Source organism: Homo sapiens, chromosome 10, assembly GCF_000001405.40.
Source record: "Homo sapiens chromosome 10, GRCh38.p14 Primary Assembly".
NCBI lineage: Eukaryota > Metazoa > Chordata > Mammalia > Primates > Hominidae > Homo > Homo sapiens.
The window spans coordinates 12717925-12737967 of record NC_000010.11 but is presented as its reverse complement, the minus strand read 5'-3'; the positions used below and the strand labels follow the sequence as shown (position 1 = coordinate 12737967).

At 45.4% G+C, this 20043-nt stretch overlaps 1 protein-coding gene and 1 non-coding gene across 11 annotated transcripts in view, besides 1 other annotated feature; one reads left to right on the top strand and one right to left on the bottom strand.

Moving 5' to 3' along the window:
- Positions 1-20043, bottom strand: part of CAMK1D (calcium/calmodulin dependent protein kinase ID) — a 485999-nt gene that overhangs the window by 97578 nt on the left and 368378 nt on the right. The window lies entirely within an intron of this gene.
- Positions 6817-6866: a silencer, noted in NCBI's record as "silent region_2148". NCBI's record gives its function as "represses an Ori minimal core promoter by ATAC-STARR-seq in GM12878 lymphoblastoid cells {active_cell/tissue: GM12878}" and the evidence as "EXISTENCE:reporter gene assay evidence [ECO:0000049][PMID:35858748]".
- MIR548Q (microRNA 548q) lies at positions 12615-12714 on the top strand. Its single transcript, NR_031752.1, has one exon. It is a non-coding gene; the product is annotated as a microRNA 548q (primary transcript).

Below are 20043 nucleotides of genomic sequence, written 5' to 3'. Positions count from 1 at the left end.
AGATTTTATTACCTTATTATACATTTTGTGAATTTATGACTAGTTATTCTTTAATCCATCTAGAATTTATTTTGATGTATGGTATAGGAGTCTCATATTATACAACTGGAATATGAGTTCAATAAACTCATGTTTATTTTAGGTGCTACAACAGGCATTCTTAATAGTATTTTATATTTACTTGTGTTTATCTTGTAGCTCACGTCCCCTTTACCCCAAAGTGAGTAAAGTGCTGTAGAATCTAGGATTTGGTCATATCACAATTATTGATAATTTTCAACGATACAAATGAACATTTCCAATACACAATGCCAAGAACAGAAGTGTTAAAGGGAAGGGATGGCAGAGCAGTGGGTAAGGTCACAGGCAGAAGTAAGAGGCGAGGCCAAGGAAGGTTTCAGCTGGGACCTGGGGAAAGTGGGGTGGGACTTTGCAAGTTGAGAGGACAGCAGACTCCAAAGCTCGGAGGAAAGAGGGCAGGGGTCTGGGGAATACGAGACAGCCTGTGTCACTGGGCAGTGCAGCCCGGGGTGGTCAGGAAGGGGCCTGACTAGGAAGTTCATTCTAATGATGACAGAGACACAGCACTTTGGGCAGAAATATCCCATGTTCAATTTCTGTCTAGGATGATCCTTCTGGTATGAAGCACAGGTTAGGGGAAATAATGGGGGTATGGAAACTGTCAAGAGGCTGCTGCCCCTGGCCAGTAGAAAGAGAGTCAAGGCCAGCCCAGGACAGGAACAACAGGGAGGGAAAGAAAGTGAAGACCCTGAGGAGAGAGAGGTGAGAGGTCAGAGGCAGTAGCTGATGGATGGGGGCGAGGGTGGGAGGAAGGCCCAGGGACAGTGTTAGAGAGGCCAATGTGTGTCTGTCCAGCCCCTGGCCCCTGGGACTCAGGCTACGCACCTTCATGCCCTCCCCTGCAGCTGCATGCATTGAGATTGGTCAACGGATGCTCGCTGTTCTCTTGGGTCCCTAAGCTAGAATGAAGCAACCTTGGGGCAACTCATGGCTGTGTCCAGCTCCTCCAAGGGAGCAGAAGAGGAACCAACAGACAGAGAGGAGAAGACCGGAAAGCCAGAGAGTGATCGGGAGAGAGAAACGCAGGGGCTATTTGTCCCTGACGCAGATGCTGAGTTCTGCCAGTTCCTCGTGGGTTTCTCTCACTGGCAACCAAAGGAGTCTTGACTAAATTAAATACCACGCTGGCTCTGGCGAGAGCGGCCAGGGAGATGGTGGTGCTATTCATCAAAAGAAGCATCCCAGGAGGAAGAAAAAAAGTTTGGAAGCACATCGTGTCAACATATCCCAGTAAATGCATACAGCAGGCACTTCTACCTAAGCATATGAACTAGATTTCTTATTCATTTTTCATGTATTCTCTGTTGGGTTTTGTATTGAAATATTTTCCAAAATTGTAAAACACAAATCTTATTTAAGAAGTGCCAGAAAACTTTCAAGGATATTATAATTTGTTTTGCACTTCTAGAAATAAATTGCTTTAAAAAAATCAATAAATTCTCAGTATTACTGTTACTAGAACTCGCCGAATAGAATTATCCAGCTGAACACAATTACGATGCTTATCTAGTCAACAGTCAGAGACCTGAGCCTCTGGGGCAAGGCTACTTGGCAGTACATGTTGCTCTTATACCACTCCTTGGGGACGCCGAGGGGAAGGTGGTGGCAGGAGACAGGACACATGGGCAGGGCCACGCCATAACAGAGAACAGGAGAAGTTGAGGGGAGGCAAGAGAGGAGGCAAGTGAGCATGGTCTTCCTCACTGGGGAAGAAACTCGTAGGCTGCCTGGAGCAACCATCAGAGGCTCTCTGGAAGTCCTGCCGTTTGGCGCCATCATGGAAATTTCTGGATGAAGAAAGGCCACATTTCAAAACCTGCTGCAGATCTGGCTGTCCCCTGCATGAGCTCCCTCTGCCAGCAAGGCCTTGCAGCCAGTGCCAAGTCTCAACCAGAGGGAGCCACAGTATTCACTGGCTCAGTGCTATGTTCAAATTCCTCCATGTGCCTACAGTGGAATTTCAATCAAAATCAGCTTATCCTTCTCTTTCCTTTGCAATCTGAGTGTGGTGCCAGCCATCTCTCAACCCCACAGCAATGGAGTATCTGGAGCGCAAGGAGGGGTTACAGCTTCTTAATTTCTTATTTCTTAAAAAAAAAAAAAGATGCTGACTGTGCCACCCCATAACTCTTCGGGGATTAGAACGTGCCAGGCTGCCAGCTCTGTATCTCGGCCTACTGTTCCTTGAGTCAAGGTCATGGCAGGACAATTCAGCATCAGGTCTGGTACAGAGAGACGGTTGGTACCTCTAGAGGTGAGAGTGACCAGCTCCTTTTGGAGAGCCAGGTTTCTGCCATCACTGTCCCTTGGACACGGCATCGAAGGGCAGTGGCGAAGAGACCGAAGGTTCGCCCCTCCGCTTCTTGCTCCCTGAATTGAAAAAAAGATACTTTCTTTTCTTTTTTTTTTGAGACGGAGTCTCGCTCTGTCGCCCAGGCTGGAGTGCAGTGGCGCAATCTCGGCTCACTGCAGGCTCCGCCTCCCGGGTTCACGCCATTCTCCTGCCTCAGCCTCCCGAGTAGCTGGGACTACAGGCGCCCGCCACCACGCCCGGCTAATTTTTTAATATTTTTAGTAGAGACGGGGTTTCACCGTGATAGCCCAGGATGGTCTTGATCTCCTGACCTCGTGATCCGCCCGCCTCGGCCTCCCAAAGTGCTGGGACTACAGGCGTGAGCCACCGCGCCCGGCCGACACTTTCGTTTCTTAAACTCACATCTGTAAAACGGGCATAATTATTCCACTTATCTCTCGAGATCATCAGGGGACTGAGGAAGACCTATGAAAAGCAGACACAGAGAAAGCACTTGACAAAGGCTAGCCATTATTATTACTATTAATATTCTATTATTCTAAGGCACTTCAGGCTAGGTAAATGCTTGGAATCACACCTCCACTGCACAAATGTGAAACAAGTAAGTATTTACCATTTTAACAAATGCTTACTGAATGTTTATTCTGTGGCAGCGACTCTTGGAGGTGTGAGGAGAGACCTGTCCAAATGCCCAAATCCACCAATAATGAGCTACTTTTTCTGCCCAACTCTGTTGCAAACAGCAGGCCTGAAAGGCAGCTTGAAAGGATGCAGACAACAAAGAAAGAGAAAGCAAATTTGATACAAGTAAGAAAAATCGGGCTAAGGAGGGGATTAAATCTAAGATGAGGAGTAGGGAGAGGTTGGTGCCCAAGGCCAGGCCATGAAGTTGTCTGGACTTGGTGGAAGCAGGTCACAAACACAGCTCTGGGATTTTTCTAGTATCAGAGTCAAAGAGGGATACAGCCAAGTCAAAGAGGTTTGTGTCTATATATATATATACACATATGTGTATATATATACATATATACATATGTGTGTATATATATACGTGTATATATATGTGTGTGTGTATATATATACATATGTGTATATATACACATATGTGTATGTGTATATATACACATATGTGTGTGTGTATATATATATACATGTGTGTGTGTGTGTATATATATATATATCTATATCTATATCTATATATATATATATATATATATATATATATATTTTTTTTTTTTTTTTTTTTTTTTGAGATGGAGTCTCGCTGTGTTGCCCAGGCTGGAGTGCAGTGGCATGATCTCGGCCTCACTGCAACCTCCAGCTCCCAGGTTCAAGCGATTCTCCTGTTTCAGCCTTTTGAGTAGCTGGGACTACAGGCATGCACCAGGCTACTTTTTTTGTAGTTTTAGTACAGACAGGGTTTCACCATGTTGGCCAGGGTGGTCTCGAACTCCTGACCTCAAGTGATCCACGCGCCTCGGACTCCCCACGTGCTGGGCTTACAGGCAGGAGCCACGGCACCCGGCCTGTGTCTATAATTTAACACAAACCACTGCTCAGGGGAAGCACAAGAGATCTAGGATTTAGCCCACCACAGGGGGCTTCATCCACAGTCTTGGAGACACTTATGATGTGATCATCTCACTTGAAATCTGTGGTCCTTCAAGAACGGTTAAATAATTTAGAAAATGAGTATACATACAATGACTGTATATATAATAGATATGTACGGTTTTGAAATTTACAATACAATGAACATTTTCAATTCTTTGGCCAAAAAAAGCAAATTCAATTCAGGAACCATCGAACCATTTGAGCCAAATAACTCAAAGAAATGCTAACACGCCCTGTCATTCAAAACAAATTGGATTCGGGTGTATGGCATAACATAAATGAAATTTACTGAATGAAGAGCCACTGGCTGGCATTTTAATTCTGATGTTTCTAGAACACTACCTGGTGATATAATTCTTCTGTGGCTATACACGCTGTGGAATGGTTAATCCTGAATAACACTGAGGATTGATGAAATGAGCCCATGGTCTGATTATTGCCTAGTCTGATGGAAATTCAATTAATTAAAGAAGCCACTCTATGCCAGGAAGTGTTGAAAATTTCCTGCTGTGCTTTTAATGACATCCACCTGGTCAACGAAGCCAGAAACCTGGGAGATTGTTTATGACTCCCCACCTAACATTAACTCAGGTTTTCAATTCTGCAATTTTTCTCTTAAAATATTACTATTCTCTCCTTCTAACTCCATCTTCACTGCTACTAAGGAAGATGTCTTCTTGGTCTCTCTCAGCTGTTAGAATATCTGTCTAGCTTCACCCTGAATGACTCATCCTCCTCCAATTTACCTTCATACTACTTTGGAACAAAGGCTCAGAAAAGGTGGCAAATAAACCTTATTTAGAAAACAACTGGTGCCATATAAGAATAGAAAGGTAAACTGCCACTTTGCTCTGGACTGGAGGCACAGGGTCTCGCACAAAGATTTGGACCAGGGAGTGACATCGTATGTATCGTAATTGCTATATGCTGGGAAGCATGCTTAACATTTTTTTGTACATTATCTTATTTAACCCTCAGAACTGCTCTGTCTTTGAGGCATGTGCTATTGTCTCCATTCAACAGATGAGGAAACTGAGAAGGAGGGAGGTTAGTGGCTTGTCAGATGTAAGTGGTGGAGGGAAGATCTCAAATGAGGGCCCTGTTGGCTCCATCGCCTGCACTGTAATCATGGGCTCTAGGTGATCCTATCGGATGCTAGTACCATTGCCCCTCATTGTTGCTGTGAACCAGATTGATAGGGTTTGGCTGTGTCCCCACCCAAATCTCAACTTGAATTGTATTTCCCAGAATTCCCATGTGTTGTGGGAGGGACAGGGGGCGGGGGGGGCGGGGGTAATTGAATAATGGGGGCCCATCTTTCCTGTGCTATTCTCCTGATGGTGAATAAATCTCACGAGATCTGATGGGTTTACCAGGGGTTTCCACTTTTGCCTCCTCCTCATTTTCTCTTGCGGCCACCACGTAAGAAGTGCCTTTCGCCTCCCGCCACGATTCTGAGGCCTCCCCAGCCATGTGGAACTGTAAGTCCAATTAAACCTCTTTTTCCTCCCAGTCTTGGATATGTCTTTATCAGCAGCGTGAAAATGGACTAATAATACACAGATCATGTCCCTTATTTTTCAATGATTTCAGCTCCTCACTCACTGTCATACTGTCTAACATATTCCTATCTTGATACCTACAAACCTCAACATGCATGGAGATGACCCTGCCCATATCTGAGCCTCTCAGGTATTTGTTATTTATTTATTTTGTTTTAGACAGAGTCTTTCTCTGTTGCCCAGGCTGGAGTGCAATGGCGCAACCTGGGCTCACTGCAACCTCCGCCTCCCAGGTTCAAGCAATTCTCCTGCCTCAGCCTCCTGAGTAGTTGGGATTACAGGCACGCGCCACCACACCCAGTTACTTTTTGTATTTTTAGTAAGACGGGGTTTCACCATGCTGGTCAGGCTGTTCTCAAACTCCTGGCCTCGTGACCCACCCGTCTCAGCCTCCCAAAGTGCTGGGATTACATGCGTGAGCCACCGTGCCCAGCATCTCTAAGGTATTTGAATGGAGTCCAATTCAGTCCTCCTCCCTACCCCATCGTCCATTCGGGTTTGTGGTCATGCCCTAGACCTCGTCATTATCAGGAACTGCAACCCCATCCTAAATCTCACCATCAAGCAGCCTCCTCTCTGATCTCCACCTTCAATCTTTCCAGCCCACTCCTTCTAACACCCAGATTCCGATAATCCTCCAGTCCCATTGAGACCTCCAATCCATCTTTCCATCTGTCATCTTTTCACTATTACCTGCCAACTCGATGCTCTCTCTTGCTCCCTCTTGCTCCCTTAGATTCCACAGCTGATCACTGCTGCTCCTTGCCATACACCGTCCCTCTTCTTTCTGTCTTATTTACTTGGCAAAGCCATGGCTCTGGTTAGACCCAACTCTTACCTCCTCTGTGCCTGCACCAGTGCAGCTGAACATGAGGTGGAAACATGTACAGACTTGCTTTAAACTCCCGATCATGCTGACCCCTGATACTTTTATTTCTCTAGTCCGCTCACTTTCATGACTTTTCTCCAACAACTATTTCACAACTTCTCCTCTTCTCCAATCTCTATTTCCCAAGATTCTCAGCAGATGACTTGGCTTCCACTTTCACTGAGAAAATAGAAACAATCAGAAGAGAATTCCCACAGACTTTCACCACCAGAAGCATCTGCACCAAGTTACTCCACATTCTCTCCCTTCATAGAGGACGCACGATCCTTCTACAGCCAATCTTGCACGTACACTAGATCTCATTCCCGCTCCACTGCTCAAGGACCTGATTTGAGCAATTCTCTCCACTTTCTTTGATAGCACTGCCTTCCCTTCTCTCTGCTGGTTCACTTTAATTGGAACACAAATACACTGTACTTTTTCTCATTAAAACGAACCAAACCAAACCAAACCAAACCAAAACCAAAACCTTATCTTGATCTCATTTCCCCTGCCAGCGACTGCCCTATTTCTCTCTTCTCCTTTGCAGCAAAGTGTCTCAAACATACTCTTTCATTCTCACATTTAAATCCTCTCCCCAGGAGACTTTCTAGAACATTCAGCTCCAATCAAGCTTCTGGCCCTAGCACTTCACAAACAGCGTTTTTGTCAGAATCACCAGTATCATGATTCTATGTTGCTGAACAAAGCAGTCAGTTCTCAGTCCTCATCCTACTTGAGCTACCAGTGGGGCTGGACCCTGGAGACCACTCCTTCCTCCCTAAACCACCTTCTCGACTTACCTTCCAAGGTACCGCTATTGATTTTCTGCCTATTCCACCAGCCACCCCTTCTCAGTCTCCCTTCTGGGTTCTTCCTCTTCTCCCCAGCTCTTAATGTTGGTCAGCCCCAGAGCTCAGTCTGTAGCCCTTCCCTCTGTCTACTCTCACTACCTTGGTGCTCTCATCCTGGCTCGTGGATGAAGGTTCAAATCAATACACCAATGGTCCCCTCCACCCCCAATGTGTATCTATAGCCCAGGCTTTTATCCTAAATATATCCAACGGCCTATTCAAACTCTTCACTTGGATATGACTCAGATGTTTCAAACTCAGCACATCCAAGAATGAAATCCTGATCTTCCCCCCAAATCGGTGCTGACCCCGTGCTTCCCCATCTTAGTCATGGGCAACTCCATCTTTCAGGTGCTTTGGGCAAAAATCTTGGCATCACCTTTGACCCCTCTGTTTCCCTTACTGGCCCATCTTCAACCTACCAGGGAATGCTAATGGTCCTGAAGATACATCCAGAATCCTACCCCATCTCCCTATCTCCCTGGCAACCATCCTGGCCTAAAACACATCCTAACTAGGTCCCTCGGTCACTGGGTCACTGCCGCAGCCTCCCAACACTCTCCCTGCTTTCACCACTGCCCCCTACTGTCCATTCTCAACATAGCACAGCAGCCAGAGTGGTTCTGTTCAAACGCAAGTGGGATCACAATTCGCCTCTGTCCAAATCTCCCAGCGGCTCTGCATCCTCCTCAGAGTCAGCCCAAAGTCCAGGAGTCCTGGGGAGCCTAAAACGCTCTATGGGACGAGGCCTCCTGTTACATCTCAACCCCTATTTCTGTCTTTTGTCCCCGACCTCACCAGCATTAGCTGCACCAGCCTTCCGCTGGGCCTTGGCCACACCAGGCACCCTCGCACTTCGGGTGTCCTCACTTACCATTCCCCCTGCCTGCAATGCTCTTCCTGAAAATATCTGCAACCTCTACCCATGTGGCTCCTTTAGGCTGCTTAGCTGTCACCTGCTCCCTGAAGTTTAACCGTCCCTCCTCCTCGAATATTTAATCTCTCTACACCACTTAATCCTTTTTAAAAACAAATTATTATTTTTTGAGACAGGGTCTCATTCTGTCACCCAGGCTGGAGTGCAGTGGCAACATCATAGCTCACTGCAGCCCGGGCTCAAGTGACCCTCCCGCCTCACCCTTCCACGTAGCTGGGACTACAAGTGCACACCACCATACCTGGCTAATTTAAAAAAAAATTCTGTAGAGACGAGGTCTTGCTATGTTACCCAGGCTGGTCTTGAACCCCCGACCTCAAGCAGTCCTCCCACCTTGGCCTCCCAAAGTGCTGCGATTACAGGCATGAGCCACTGTGCTCGGTCCCACTTTAATCTGTTCTATAGGTACTCGGCATCTTCTAACATGCTACAGAATTTGCTTATTTATTATGTTTATTGGTACTACCTCTCCCTGCTCCATGGAGGTGGAGATCTTATTGAATTTTGTAACCTAGAACAGCCACGGGCACTCAGCACATATTCAGCCAGATTTGCTGAACGAAAAACACGCACAGGACTGCCCTGTCCCATGCTCCAAAGCTCCTTTATTCTTGGAATTCTATGGTGCCCAACCACGATGACATGAAGGCACAAAGGACAGCATGACGCCAAATATTAATAACTTTAGTAAGGAAGAACTATTTCACTGACTTTTCAGTTTTTTCATGCATTGCAGTATCATCTTTTTTAACTTGTTCCCTCTTGTTACAGAGTTAGTAGTAGTTATCGTTCATTTCAGAAGTGATCTGCAAATGATCATATTCAGTACTTGAATGTCTTTTAGACTTTTCTGTAGGCAGACACAAGCCTGAAGAGGGAGCAACGGCAGAGGCACGTGTGCGTGCGCACACATACACACACACACACGCACTCCCAAAGCCAGACACCAGCAGCAGTCTCCAGGCAGACACTGACTTCAGCGGCCAAGGCATGCATCTCTGTGGCATGAAAACTACGGGGTGAGGGTGGTGAGTGGAATTGAAAGGGCAGCCAGAGAAACCGATCTGCCTCATCCTAACGCAGCTGTCCACAGCGCAAAGCCATTATCCCCTTATGATAAATGTGGAAGCCAAGTCTCGGGCTCAGCCTTATTATCACACCAACAGTGCAATACTGGATCACCTCACACACAGTAACTCACAACCTGCAGTTTCTAAACACAGATCCCGTCAGACCACTTAAAACACTGCTCTCGATGCCAGTGCACAATAACGGGTTACTTTGGCCCTGTAGTGGCCAATTACTCCCAGCTAAGGGCTCTGCTAATGGACTAACATTATAACACAATTCGAATGTTTGTACCGATGTAACTAGCGCTGCCCAAGAATCTGTCCACGCAGCCAAGAAGGCTCACAATGCAAACTGGGCTGTCCCTGCAAGATGTTAGCACCAAGAGGGTAGCTAGAAAAACATGCAGCATCTTCTTATATCTTTAATCGAACAAAAATGCAAAGCTGCTACATTTACTAAGAAGGGCAATGCAGTGACTCCAGAAGCCCTCTAACACACATGACAAATCTGGAATTGCAACTCAGTGCTATGGAGGCACCATCTCTGTTTTACTCACAGGGAAGCCTTTGACACATTTGTCAGGATAAACGGCTGTAATCAAGGCCGGGAGCTGTGACTCACGCCTGTAATCCCCACACTTTAGGAGGCCGAGGCGGGCGGATCATTGGAGGTCAGGAGTCCGAGACCAGCCCGGCCAGCATGGTGAAATCCCGTCTCTACTAAAAATACAAAAATCAGCTGGGCATAGTGGCACATGCCTGTACTCCCAGCTACTCAGGATGCTGAGGCAGAAGAATCGCCTGAACCCAGGAGGCAGAGGTTGCAGCAAACTGAGATCGCGCGCCCCTGTACTCCAGCCTAGGTGACAGAGCGAGACTCAGTCTCAAAAAAAAAAAAAAGGCTGTGATTAATTTAGAAGCCTGACACATGTGAAACATTTCCTGGCTCTTAGGTGCATCCTATGATATATTGTGATACGCCAGATTCTGCCCTTGTACGTAATCAAATAAAAAAACCTCACTGCGTTGATGCTGGCAGTTGTGTTTCAGGCTGTGGTGTGTTTCCAGGAACCTCCATGATATGAAAGATTGTGCCCAGAAGACACTGTTGTCTGTTGTGTGTAACTTATGCCTCTGAATGTTTTATCATCCCAACAATGGTGCTTGTTCCATAAAACATCGTGGCCCAGTGCACACTATTCTCAATCACAGTGCAAACGTTGTCAAAACACAAATTCCTTAGGCAGTCACATGCTATCAGTAAAAATGCTTCTTGAAGGAAGCTAGTGAGAAATATCGTTACATAAGCACAGACCAGTGATGCCTGCTTTGCCCTAAATGATTATTTAACCTCAGATCCACAAATCCATTCTGCTTTGATGTCTCTGAGTCATAACCTTCTTAACACTTCTGGACTTGAAAGGGATTGTTTTAAAAAGTCTTCAGAAGCCTGTAAGTTGTAGCCTAGCATCATCAAAACGAGGCTCAGTTTTGCTTCCCTTGCTCAGATGATGAGTTTTTACAAAACCGTAAAGCCCCAGCTCCTGGCTATTTGGGCCCCATGAGCCACAAGCCTCCGTCAGCACATGTGCCATGCATGCTACACAGGCCCTGGGCTGCGCAGGCTGAGGATAACGCGGAAGGGGAGCCTGGGTGTGGGGCCACGGGCATGGCGTGCCGTAGGCCTGACTGAATACAGCCGCTCCTCACCATGGCCCTGGGCAGCTGGGAGCACAGGGGCCTGAGGGGGCTGGGTTCAAATGAATTCTCACCTGGATGCACGAACACGTGCAAAGCATTTTTTAAATGAGCTATCCCGTTGAAGCAAAAGTGAGAACTCAAAACTCTGTCCCATGTTTGAAAACCACAGTCATAGTAGGTAAGGTTGTGGGCTCAAGAACCTGGAAGACGTTTGAGCAAATCCAAGCTCCGTCACTGAGGCAAGTCACCATGTCTCCAAGTCTCAGTTTCTTCAATCATCATGGAACTAGTGTGAGAATTTAATGAATTCTATAAAGCGTTGAGCACAGCCTTGCACTATATACAGCAGGTATAAAAATAATTACTAATAACAACGATGGCATGTCCTGGTCGTGGCTTCTGTAGAATTATTTTCTGAGACATGTCTCTTTTAATTCTCCTGCGGCACTAGGTCTAATTAAAGTTGACAATGTGTAAGTCAGCTTTCCGCTTAACTACAGTATTCCCTTCTTTTTTTAATTTTTTTACTTATTTATTTTATTTTTTGAGACAGAGTCTTGCTCTGTCTGGACTGGAGTCCAGTGGTGCAATCTGGGCTCACTGCAACCTCTGCCTCCCAGGTTCAAGTGATTCTCTTGCCTCAGCCTCCCAAGTAGCTGGGACTACAGGTGCGTGCCACTATGCCCAGCTAATTTTTTATATTTTAGTAGAAACAGGGTTTCACCATGTTGGTTAAGACAGTCTTGATCTCCTGACCTTGTGATCCACCCGCCTAGGCCTCCCAAAGTAATGGGATTACAGGCATGAGCCACTGCACCCGGCCCAGTATTCCCTTTGTAACATTACCAAGTCATCAATTCTATTTTATAGGTTAAGTAAAAAGAGAAATAGTCTATATACTAGAAAACCAGGCCGGGTGACGTGGCTCATGCCTGTAATGCCAATACTTTGGGAGGCCGAGGTGGGCAGATCACCTGAGATCAGGAGTTTGAAACCAGCCTGGCCAACATGAGGAAGCCCCGTCTATACTAAAAATACAAAAATTAGCTGGGTGTGATGGTGGGCGCCTGTAATGCCAGCTACTTGGGAGGCTGAGGCAAGAGAATTGCTTGAGCCTGGGAGGTGGAGGTTGCTGTGAGCCGAGATCATGCCACTGCACTCCAGCCTGGGCAACAGAGTGAGACTCCAGCTCAAAAACAGCAAAGAAAACCATATTATTCAGTAGTGTGTAGCTGGCTAGACGAACATGACCAGTTTTGGAATCCCGTGCATTCCTTCTCCCACAGAAGCAGGTGTAGACACGCCTCATGATGTTGCTCTTTCCTGCAAGATGCCGAAATGAGAGAAGACTGTTGAGAAAATAAAGTAGTAATTGACATTGCCAGTGGGTACTTATGACTTTTTAAGAAAGCTGTTAAACTTTGTCAGATTACTAACTCTTCTGGCTAAATCATCTTTTTAGAAATCATGTTTGGATTCATATATTTGAGCTGACAATGCACTTTACTCTCTCTTGAAAATTACTACTTTGATGTCCTTTAGTGTTGAGGAAGAAAACCCCCTACTTTTGAGTTTAATGGAAAGAAGCTACAAATACTTTCACACGTAAGAATATATTAGGCTGGTGCAAAAGTAATGGCGGTTTTTGCCATTACTTTTCATTTTTACCATTAAAAGTAATGGCAAAAAGCATGATTACTTTTTCACCAACCTAAGATTCATGCATTCCAAGGGTGCCGATTTCCATGGCTGACAAAGAGCCCCTGCTGTTATTTTCTTACTGGCTCCTGTGGCAATGTGGGCAGGTACCAGGCAGGGATCTGCAAGCTGAGTCCACAGAGGACTGCGGATCTGAGGGTTCTCCAGCTGCCCCCAGTCCACACGGCTAAGGAGAAACACAGTGGGACCCTTGCTTCTGCTGCAAAACACTAGACGGATGTGCCTGGTTATCATTTGTGAAGTTTAGATTGTTGAAAGAGATGTGGTTGAAAGAAACGTGCCTTTTTTCTTTTCACAGTTACATCAAACATCTCAGGTGGCAGACGCTGAGACACGGAGAGATCACTTTTTTTTTTTTGGTTTTTTAAGAGATGGGGTCTGGCTCTGTCACCCAGGCTGGAGTGCAGCAGTGTGACCGTAGCTCACTGCAGCCTCCAACTCAGACGGATCACATTCTGTCACCTGGCTAGACCCAAGTGAAGGCCCACAGAACTCAGGCTGCCCTGAGCTGGGCTTTATTTCATTCACACAGAAGCATCTCCTTCCTATGAAGCTCAGACAGCGGTTGCCCGGTGTCAAGCTCCTCAAAGTATTAATATTTTCCCAAACAGCCATTTAAATGTGAGGACTTCTCAGTGTCTAGGACAACTGGGATGTATTCACTTGCTTTCTTTAAAGTGGATTTACAAGGTTTTGCTTTTGTCCAGCAATCACATTCCATTTTTTATACCAGAAGATGCAGAGTGATGGGTGTAGTAAATCCAAAGCAGATGAGACCTCTGCACAAGCAAAACTCCTGTAAGTGAAGTGACTCCTATCCTAAGTGACTCCAGAACCCACTCAAGGACTCGGAAAGCCCCAGAACACAAACCCTGGCCCCCAGAGTCCCTTCTCCATGCACACGAATGCCATTTTCCTCACTTTGTTAAAACAGAAGGCAGCCCAAGACAAAAAGATAGAAACACATTTAAAAACCTGCTAATGGAGGCCCAGCACTTTGGGAGGCTGTGGTGGGTGGATCACTTGAGGTCAAAGTTTGAGATCAACCTGGCCAACATGGTGAAACCTCATCTCTATTACAAATATAAAAATTTGGCCCGGCATGGTGGCCGGCGTCTGTAATCCCAACTCCTCGGGAGGCCGAGGCACGAGAATTGCTTGAACCTGGGAGGTAGAGGTTGCAGTGAGCTGGGATCACGCCACTGCACTCCAGCCTGTGCGACAGAATGTCAAAACACCACCGCATGTTCTCACTCATAGGTGGGAATTGAACAATGAGAACATCTGGACACAGGAAGGGGAACATCACACACCGGGGCCTGTTGTGGGGTAGGGGGAGTGGGGAGGGATAGCATTAGGAGATAAACCTAATGTAAATGACGAGTTAATGGGTGCAGCACACCAACATGGCACATGTATACATATGTAACAAACCTGCACATTGTGCACATGTACCCTAGAACTTAAAGTATAATAAAAAATATAAAAAAAGAATGTCAAAACAACAACAACAACAAAACCTGCTAATAGAGTTTTAAACTACTGCAAGGATATAAACATAATTATTTATGATGTATTTTAATAGAAAAAAATGCCTTTCAATTTACATAGTAACTATTCTGCCTCTTGGAGGTCTTGCTTTCATTCATAAGTAGGCTGATTAGTGATGAGCTTACACATTAGCAAAAGATGCATGTTCATCTGTACCATATTGCAATTCCTGTATGCCTTAATGTAATCAATACTACTGCGGTATTTTCAGTAGATAACCTTCCTTAAGTAGATAACCTTCCCCTCCTTTTCTGAGATGAGATGCCCCAAAAACGATTCAGGGAAATGCAGGATTTAATTAGTTTGGGTTCTGTCATTTACCATCTGTGTGAGGTCAGGGAAGCTTTCTAACCTTGTGAGCTGCAGATGCCTCATCTGTTACATGGAAGAGGTCAGACATCTTTTCCTTTTAAAGCAAAAATTCTACAATTCTCCCGTTCAGACCGTTCAAACACCTAATAAATCTCAATTCTCCCAAACTGCAGCCTGCCTCCTTCCAAATAATGATAAATTCTCAATTAATTAAGTGTGACTCAATGAGATTGCTTTAAGACGTGTGGGCCTGCAATACACAAGCCCACTGCCTGACACCCTGGGACTTTAGCCTCTTCACGTCCATTTCTTCTTTTCCCCATGTGGTGTTCACATAGTTCTTCCTCCCATGTGGACTCCGGAACACCTTCCTTTCTGCCTTTTCCCATCTACACTCAAATTCCAGCCCACACCATTTTCCACCTGCCCCGAGAGCACCGATTATACCTCCGTTAGAGATATACTAATGAACACTTTCAATATTCTGTCACATACTTATTAAATCACATTTCCTGACTCTTTACTCTCTTCTACTTCTCACTCTTGTTCCAAGTAGTTCCCAATAGATCACATCCTTTTTAGTGATCAGGGCCATGCCTTACATTTCTGTTTCCGCCTTAATGCTAGAAACTCTGTTAGGACAGGGATTTTAATCTTATAGCTTCAAGTTTAAATGGTAAGGACCTTTGAACTGACCTCGTCCAGATCCTTTGGTAGGCCGGAGGGGAAGAAACCAACATTTGCCAAATGGCTATTGTGTGCCCAGTGTTTGGCTAAGAATTCCTCATAACTTCTCTATGAAGTATCATTTTCTCCACTTACAGATGAGGATGCTGAAGGGCAAATTTCTATAACTTCTAGGGGATAACTTTGTAACTTACACTACTTTTCAAATTCTTTGGAGTTATCTTTTTTTTTTTTTTTTTTTTTTTTTTTTTGAGGCGGAGTCTCACTTTGTTGCCCAGGCTGGAGGTGCAGTGGCACAATCTTGGCTCATTGCAAGCTCTGCCTCCTGGGTTCACACCATTCTCCTGCCTCAGCCTCCCTAGTAGCTGGGACTACAGGCACCCACCACCAAGCCCGGCTAATTGTTTTGTATTTTTAGTAGAGATGGGGTTTCACTGTGTTATCCCCGGGATGGTCTCGATCTCCAGACTTCGTGATCCGCCCGCCTCAGCCTCCCAAAGTGCTGGGATTACAGGCGTGAGCCACCGCGCCCAGCCTGGAGTTATCTTAAAGTCTACCATGGACTGTCTCCCAAAATGCATATACTGAAATCCTAACACCCAAGGTGATGGTGTTAGGAATGGGGGGCCTGTGGAGGTGATTAGGTCATGAGGGTGGAGCCATTGTGAATGGGATTAACGCCCTTATAAAAGGGACCTCAGAAAGCTACCTCACTTAGGGAAACAGAGCCCCCTCTTGTTATAGAGCCTGCTGCACTTAGAAGGCAGCGAGGGGTTTCAGTAACTCCTACTGTTAAAAACTCCTACTGTCTAAAACCTCTGTTATAGACATTAGGTCTACAGTGGTAATTCTGACACCTGGAGTCTAGGGCCATGTCCGTAACCAGTGCTTGTCTATCAAAGGAGGCACTGGTCCACACAACCCTAATCTCCCCCTAGTCATTTCCCATCGAGCCATGTGGCCTAATGACTACTATCTGGAGGCACCTAGTTCATGCATGTGTGTACCTGTTACTACGGGTTACCCTCTGCTAGGTAATAAGCTCTGTGAGCACAGGGTCCTTGTCTATTTTGTTCACTACTATATTCCTGATGCCTACAAAGGCCCTGGCACCTAGTAGCTGCTCAGTAAATATTTTTTGGATGGATGGATAGATGGATGGATGGATGGATGGATGGATGGATGGTGGATGGTAGCCAGTGAAAGAACACAAAATTTTGAAGCTTGGAGCCATCTAATACCATGGATCCCAGATTTTGATCTGCTCCCAACAGTGCTAAATTGAGTAATGCACAGCCCGCCGATACATTTCCTGTGATTAAATCCTATTCTTCCCTGTATGGAGTTCCAGAAGGTGTTTTTATAAGTTGGTTATATTTGGAACAAGAAGTGAAGAAATTGCTAGCCCTCATCAAGGCTGTCCATTAAGTGAGAAAAAAGCCTGTGACTGGTCTCGAATTACTTATCGAGTAATTGAAATGTGTGGGGAACCACGACAGGATATAAGACTAACGGCCACGCTATTCTGTACGTCCAAGCTTCTCTAGACATTAGCCCCTTGACCGTGAAGATCTCGCTGATTGGGCATGCGCATGTTTGCTAATCACGTGGCACAGTTTAGCCAGTTTGTGATTATTTGTGTACAAATGTCTCTATCTCACCCAAAGACAACAAAAGCCCTGCAGGTCAGGGCCTATTTATATCATCTCACACAAAGCCTTGTCAAGAGTCTCCGCTGAATGGATTCACCAATTCCAGAAGACAGGTGCCCTGTCGTTCACTTTTGAAAAATGACTCACGTGGTTCATTTATGTCCTTGGGCCTGCAGTTAATTCAATTCTAAGGCTGAAATGACTGAGGGAGGACAAGGCACACAACAGGCTTCTCAGCATAACTTGCCAAGAACAATCTCCTTACCGTGGAGAGGAAAACCCTTGAATCCTTATTGATTCTTCGGGGCCATTCGAGAGGGAAAAATAATCTTCTCACTCTTGTAGTTTCAATCTCAAAAAAGGGTTGAAGGGCTCCTATTTCCCTGTCAAACTCTGTTAAGACATTCAGGGCACTGTGCCAGCCACTGGCTTGGGACAATGAGTCTCTGTTTGCTTAGCTAAGATTAGAGAATGTGTCAACAGTCTTATCTACCACGTCATCTCTAGATCTTATTACCCTTAAGCAATGAGTGGGTTGAAAGATTAGTAGGAATGCCTAGAAGTAACTTGTTGGAAGAAACTGGTCACAGACCTGCCAAGGTTTGTCATCACTCAGCATGTCTGTGAAGTTCAAGGGAACTGTGTCTTTAATGGGACTGTCTAAAATCATCTGTAAATGAAGGCCTAAGACCAAGAGGCACATTGTCTCCATGATGCTCTGATGCCCAGCCTCTTCTCTCACTGATACCCCAAGAGTGACTCTTCGCTAGGAATTCTGCAGACGGACCAGGCTGGGTTCTTTTATACCCTAATTCAAGTCATGAGTCCTGAGTGACATCCAGTCCTCTGTGGTTCAGATGGAAAAGCGTTTGAGTGGCTCTGTTGTTCACCTCCAAAGGCATCCCTCCTTCCAGGTGACAACAGCTGGGTATTAGAAGCATGTTCTTAAAGGTCTTGCTACTCAAAGGGTTGTCCTTGGACCAGTCCTTGGTATCACATGGGAGCTTGTTCTAGATGCAAATTCATGCCTCCTTTCCTACCCAGACCCACTGAATCAGCATCTCAGAAGGCAGGGCCCAGCAACCTTTGCTTTAGTGATACCCTCAGGTAATTCTTCTGTGTGCTAAAACTCGAGCTGGATTGCTCGCAACTGTCCCCTTCTCAACCACACTTCCCAGAGGACTGGAATCTAAAGGCTGGGATGCGATGAGCAATTATTTTCTAGTCTCTACACCTGCTAAAAGAGTGTTATCCATAGGTTTCATCCTGGGATAACTGTGAAACAGCCTTGCCAGGTAAAAAGTGCTCCCTGAAGGAGGAGGAGTAAGAGTGGCAGGGACGCAGTGGTTCAGTGCTGGCACTGGGTTCTTCCTGAGTTCCTTCAGTTTCCTAGTGAGTGGTTCTGTCAGTGGAAAGGTTAGTGCAAAGTGGCTCTAACCCTAAAAAGTGAAACAGGATTCTGTTGAAGATTGCTCAATCCAGCCTACTCACTCCTTCCTGCCTCACCCCTGCCCACAGGCGCCAGGAAAGTGTTTCCTCCCAGATTTCTCTTGATACAAGAGACCTAGGGTGGTGCATTCATGAAATGAGGGAAATTCTTTTTACAGTTTTCTTTTTTCTTTTCTTTTTTTTTTTCCTGAGGCACAGTCTCACTCTGTTGCCCAGGCTGGAGTGCAGTTGGTGTGATCTCGGCTCACTGCAACCTCCACCTCTTAGGTTCAAGTGATCCTCCTGCCTCAGCCTCCCAAGTAGCTGGGATTACAGGCATGCACCATCACGCCTGGTTACTTTTTGTCTTTTTAGTAGAGACGGGGTTTCATCATGTTGGCCAGGCTGGTCTCGAACTCCTGACCTCAGGTGATCCACCCGCCTCAGCCTCCCAAAGTGCTGGGATTACAGATGTGAGCACTGTGCCCGGCCTCTATAACAATTTTAATGGGGAACTTCCCATGAGAACCTTCGGTCAAAAATCGTGTAATTGTCGTACCTTGTCTCTATTTCTTTTTGATGAGATGAATCTACCCCACTGGGTTTCAGTGGACTTAGCAGATGTGGAAGTGCCCAAGAGTGGGGTCTATGCAAAAGAAGCAGGCAAGGCTAGCAGGGACTGTTCGTTAGATGAGCAGTACATGACTTACAGATTCTCTGGGTGTCAACTCCTAGTGCTGTCTTAGGGAGAGTTAGGTGGCCCAGTTATGAGACTGATAAGGTACGGTGTGCTCAGTAGAAAATGGTTAGTAGAGAGAAAAAGAAAGAAGAGGTGAGGCATTTCAACTTTGAATGAAAAAAACCAAAAGAGCCAACGAAGATTCTAAGTCATGATGCATGTGGTAAAACCATTTTGAAGATCTTGTATCATAACCTGTTTTTAAATCATTAAACGAAGAAACAAAAACCTCCAACGGACAACTCTAAACCTGTAACTTCAGCTCGAAACTCTGAAGACCTGCTCACATTACAAGTTTAGGGCATTATTCTAAATTTACTCGGGAAAAGTCCATTTATTTCCCCCAGGTGGAGATTTTTAAACCTAAGGGAGCCATCTGGTGGCTTGAGTGTCTACTAATTAAAATCCTTTTAGCCATAAGATTCCCACCTTGTGGGTACCGTCACTGAAGCAAATGGCGTAAGATACACCAGAGTTGACGAGAAACTTTCTTATGCTGTATAAAAATCAAATATTGCAATTTAGACAAATCAAGCCAAAATTCAAGGTGAGTGGTAATTCTGGTATTTTTTCTACCTGCTTAAAAGAAACCAAATAGTGTCTGTGAATCATTAAAAGTTGTCTTTCGAACCCTATTTCAAGACTGCATGTTTTAACATGAGACAACCCAATCATTACAAAACTAGAAATCGATCCAAAAAACATGAGTCAACGGCTTGCTGAAATGACACACGGGTTTGACGAGCTTTGGATCCTGCCCTTACTTTGTAAGGGGTCAGAAAAGAATGGTAGAAGAGAAGCTCCTACTTAGAAAAAGAAAATTTCAACTCCTAAGCATTGTGAATAAAAATAATTTAGTATGAAATATGCCCTTTCAGGTCTATAATGACACACTGCACTAGTTAATGATTTCAGTATAGTATCTATATCTTTCAATGCTGAAATTTCTTTCTT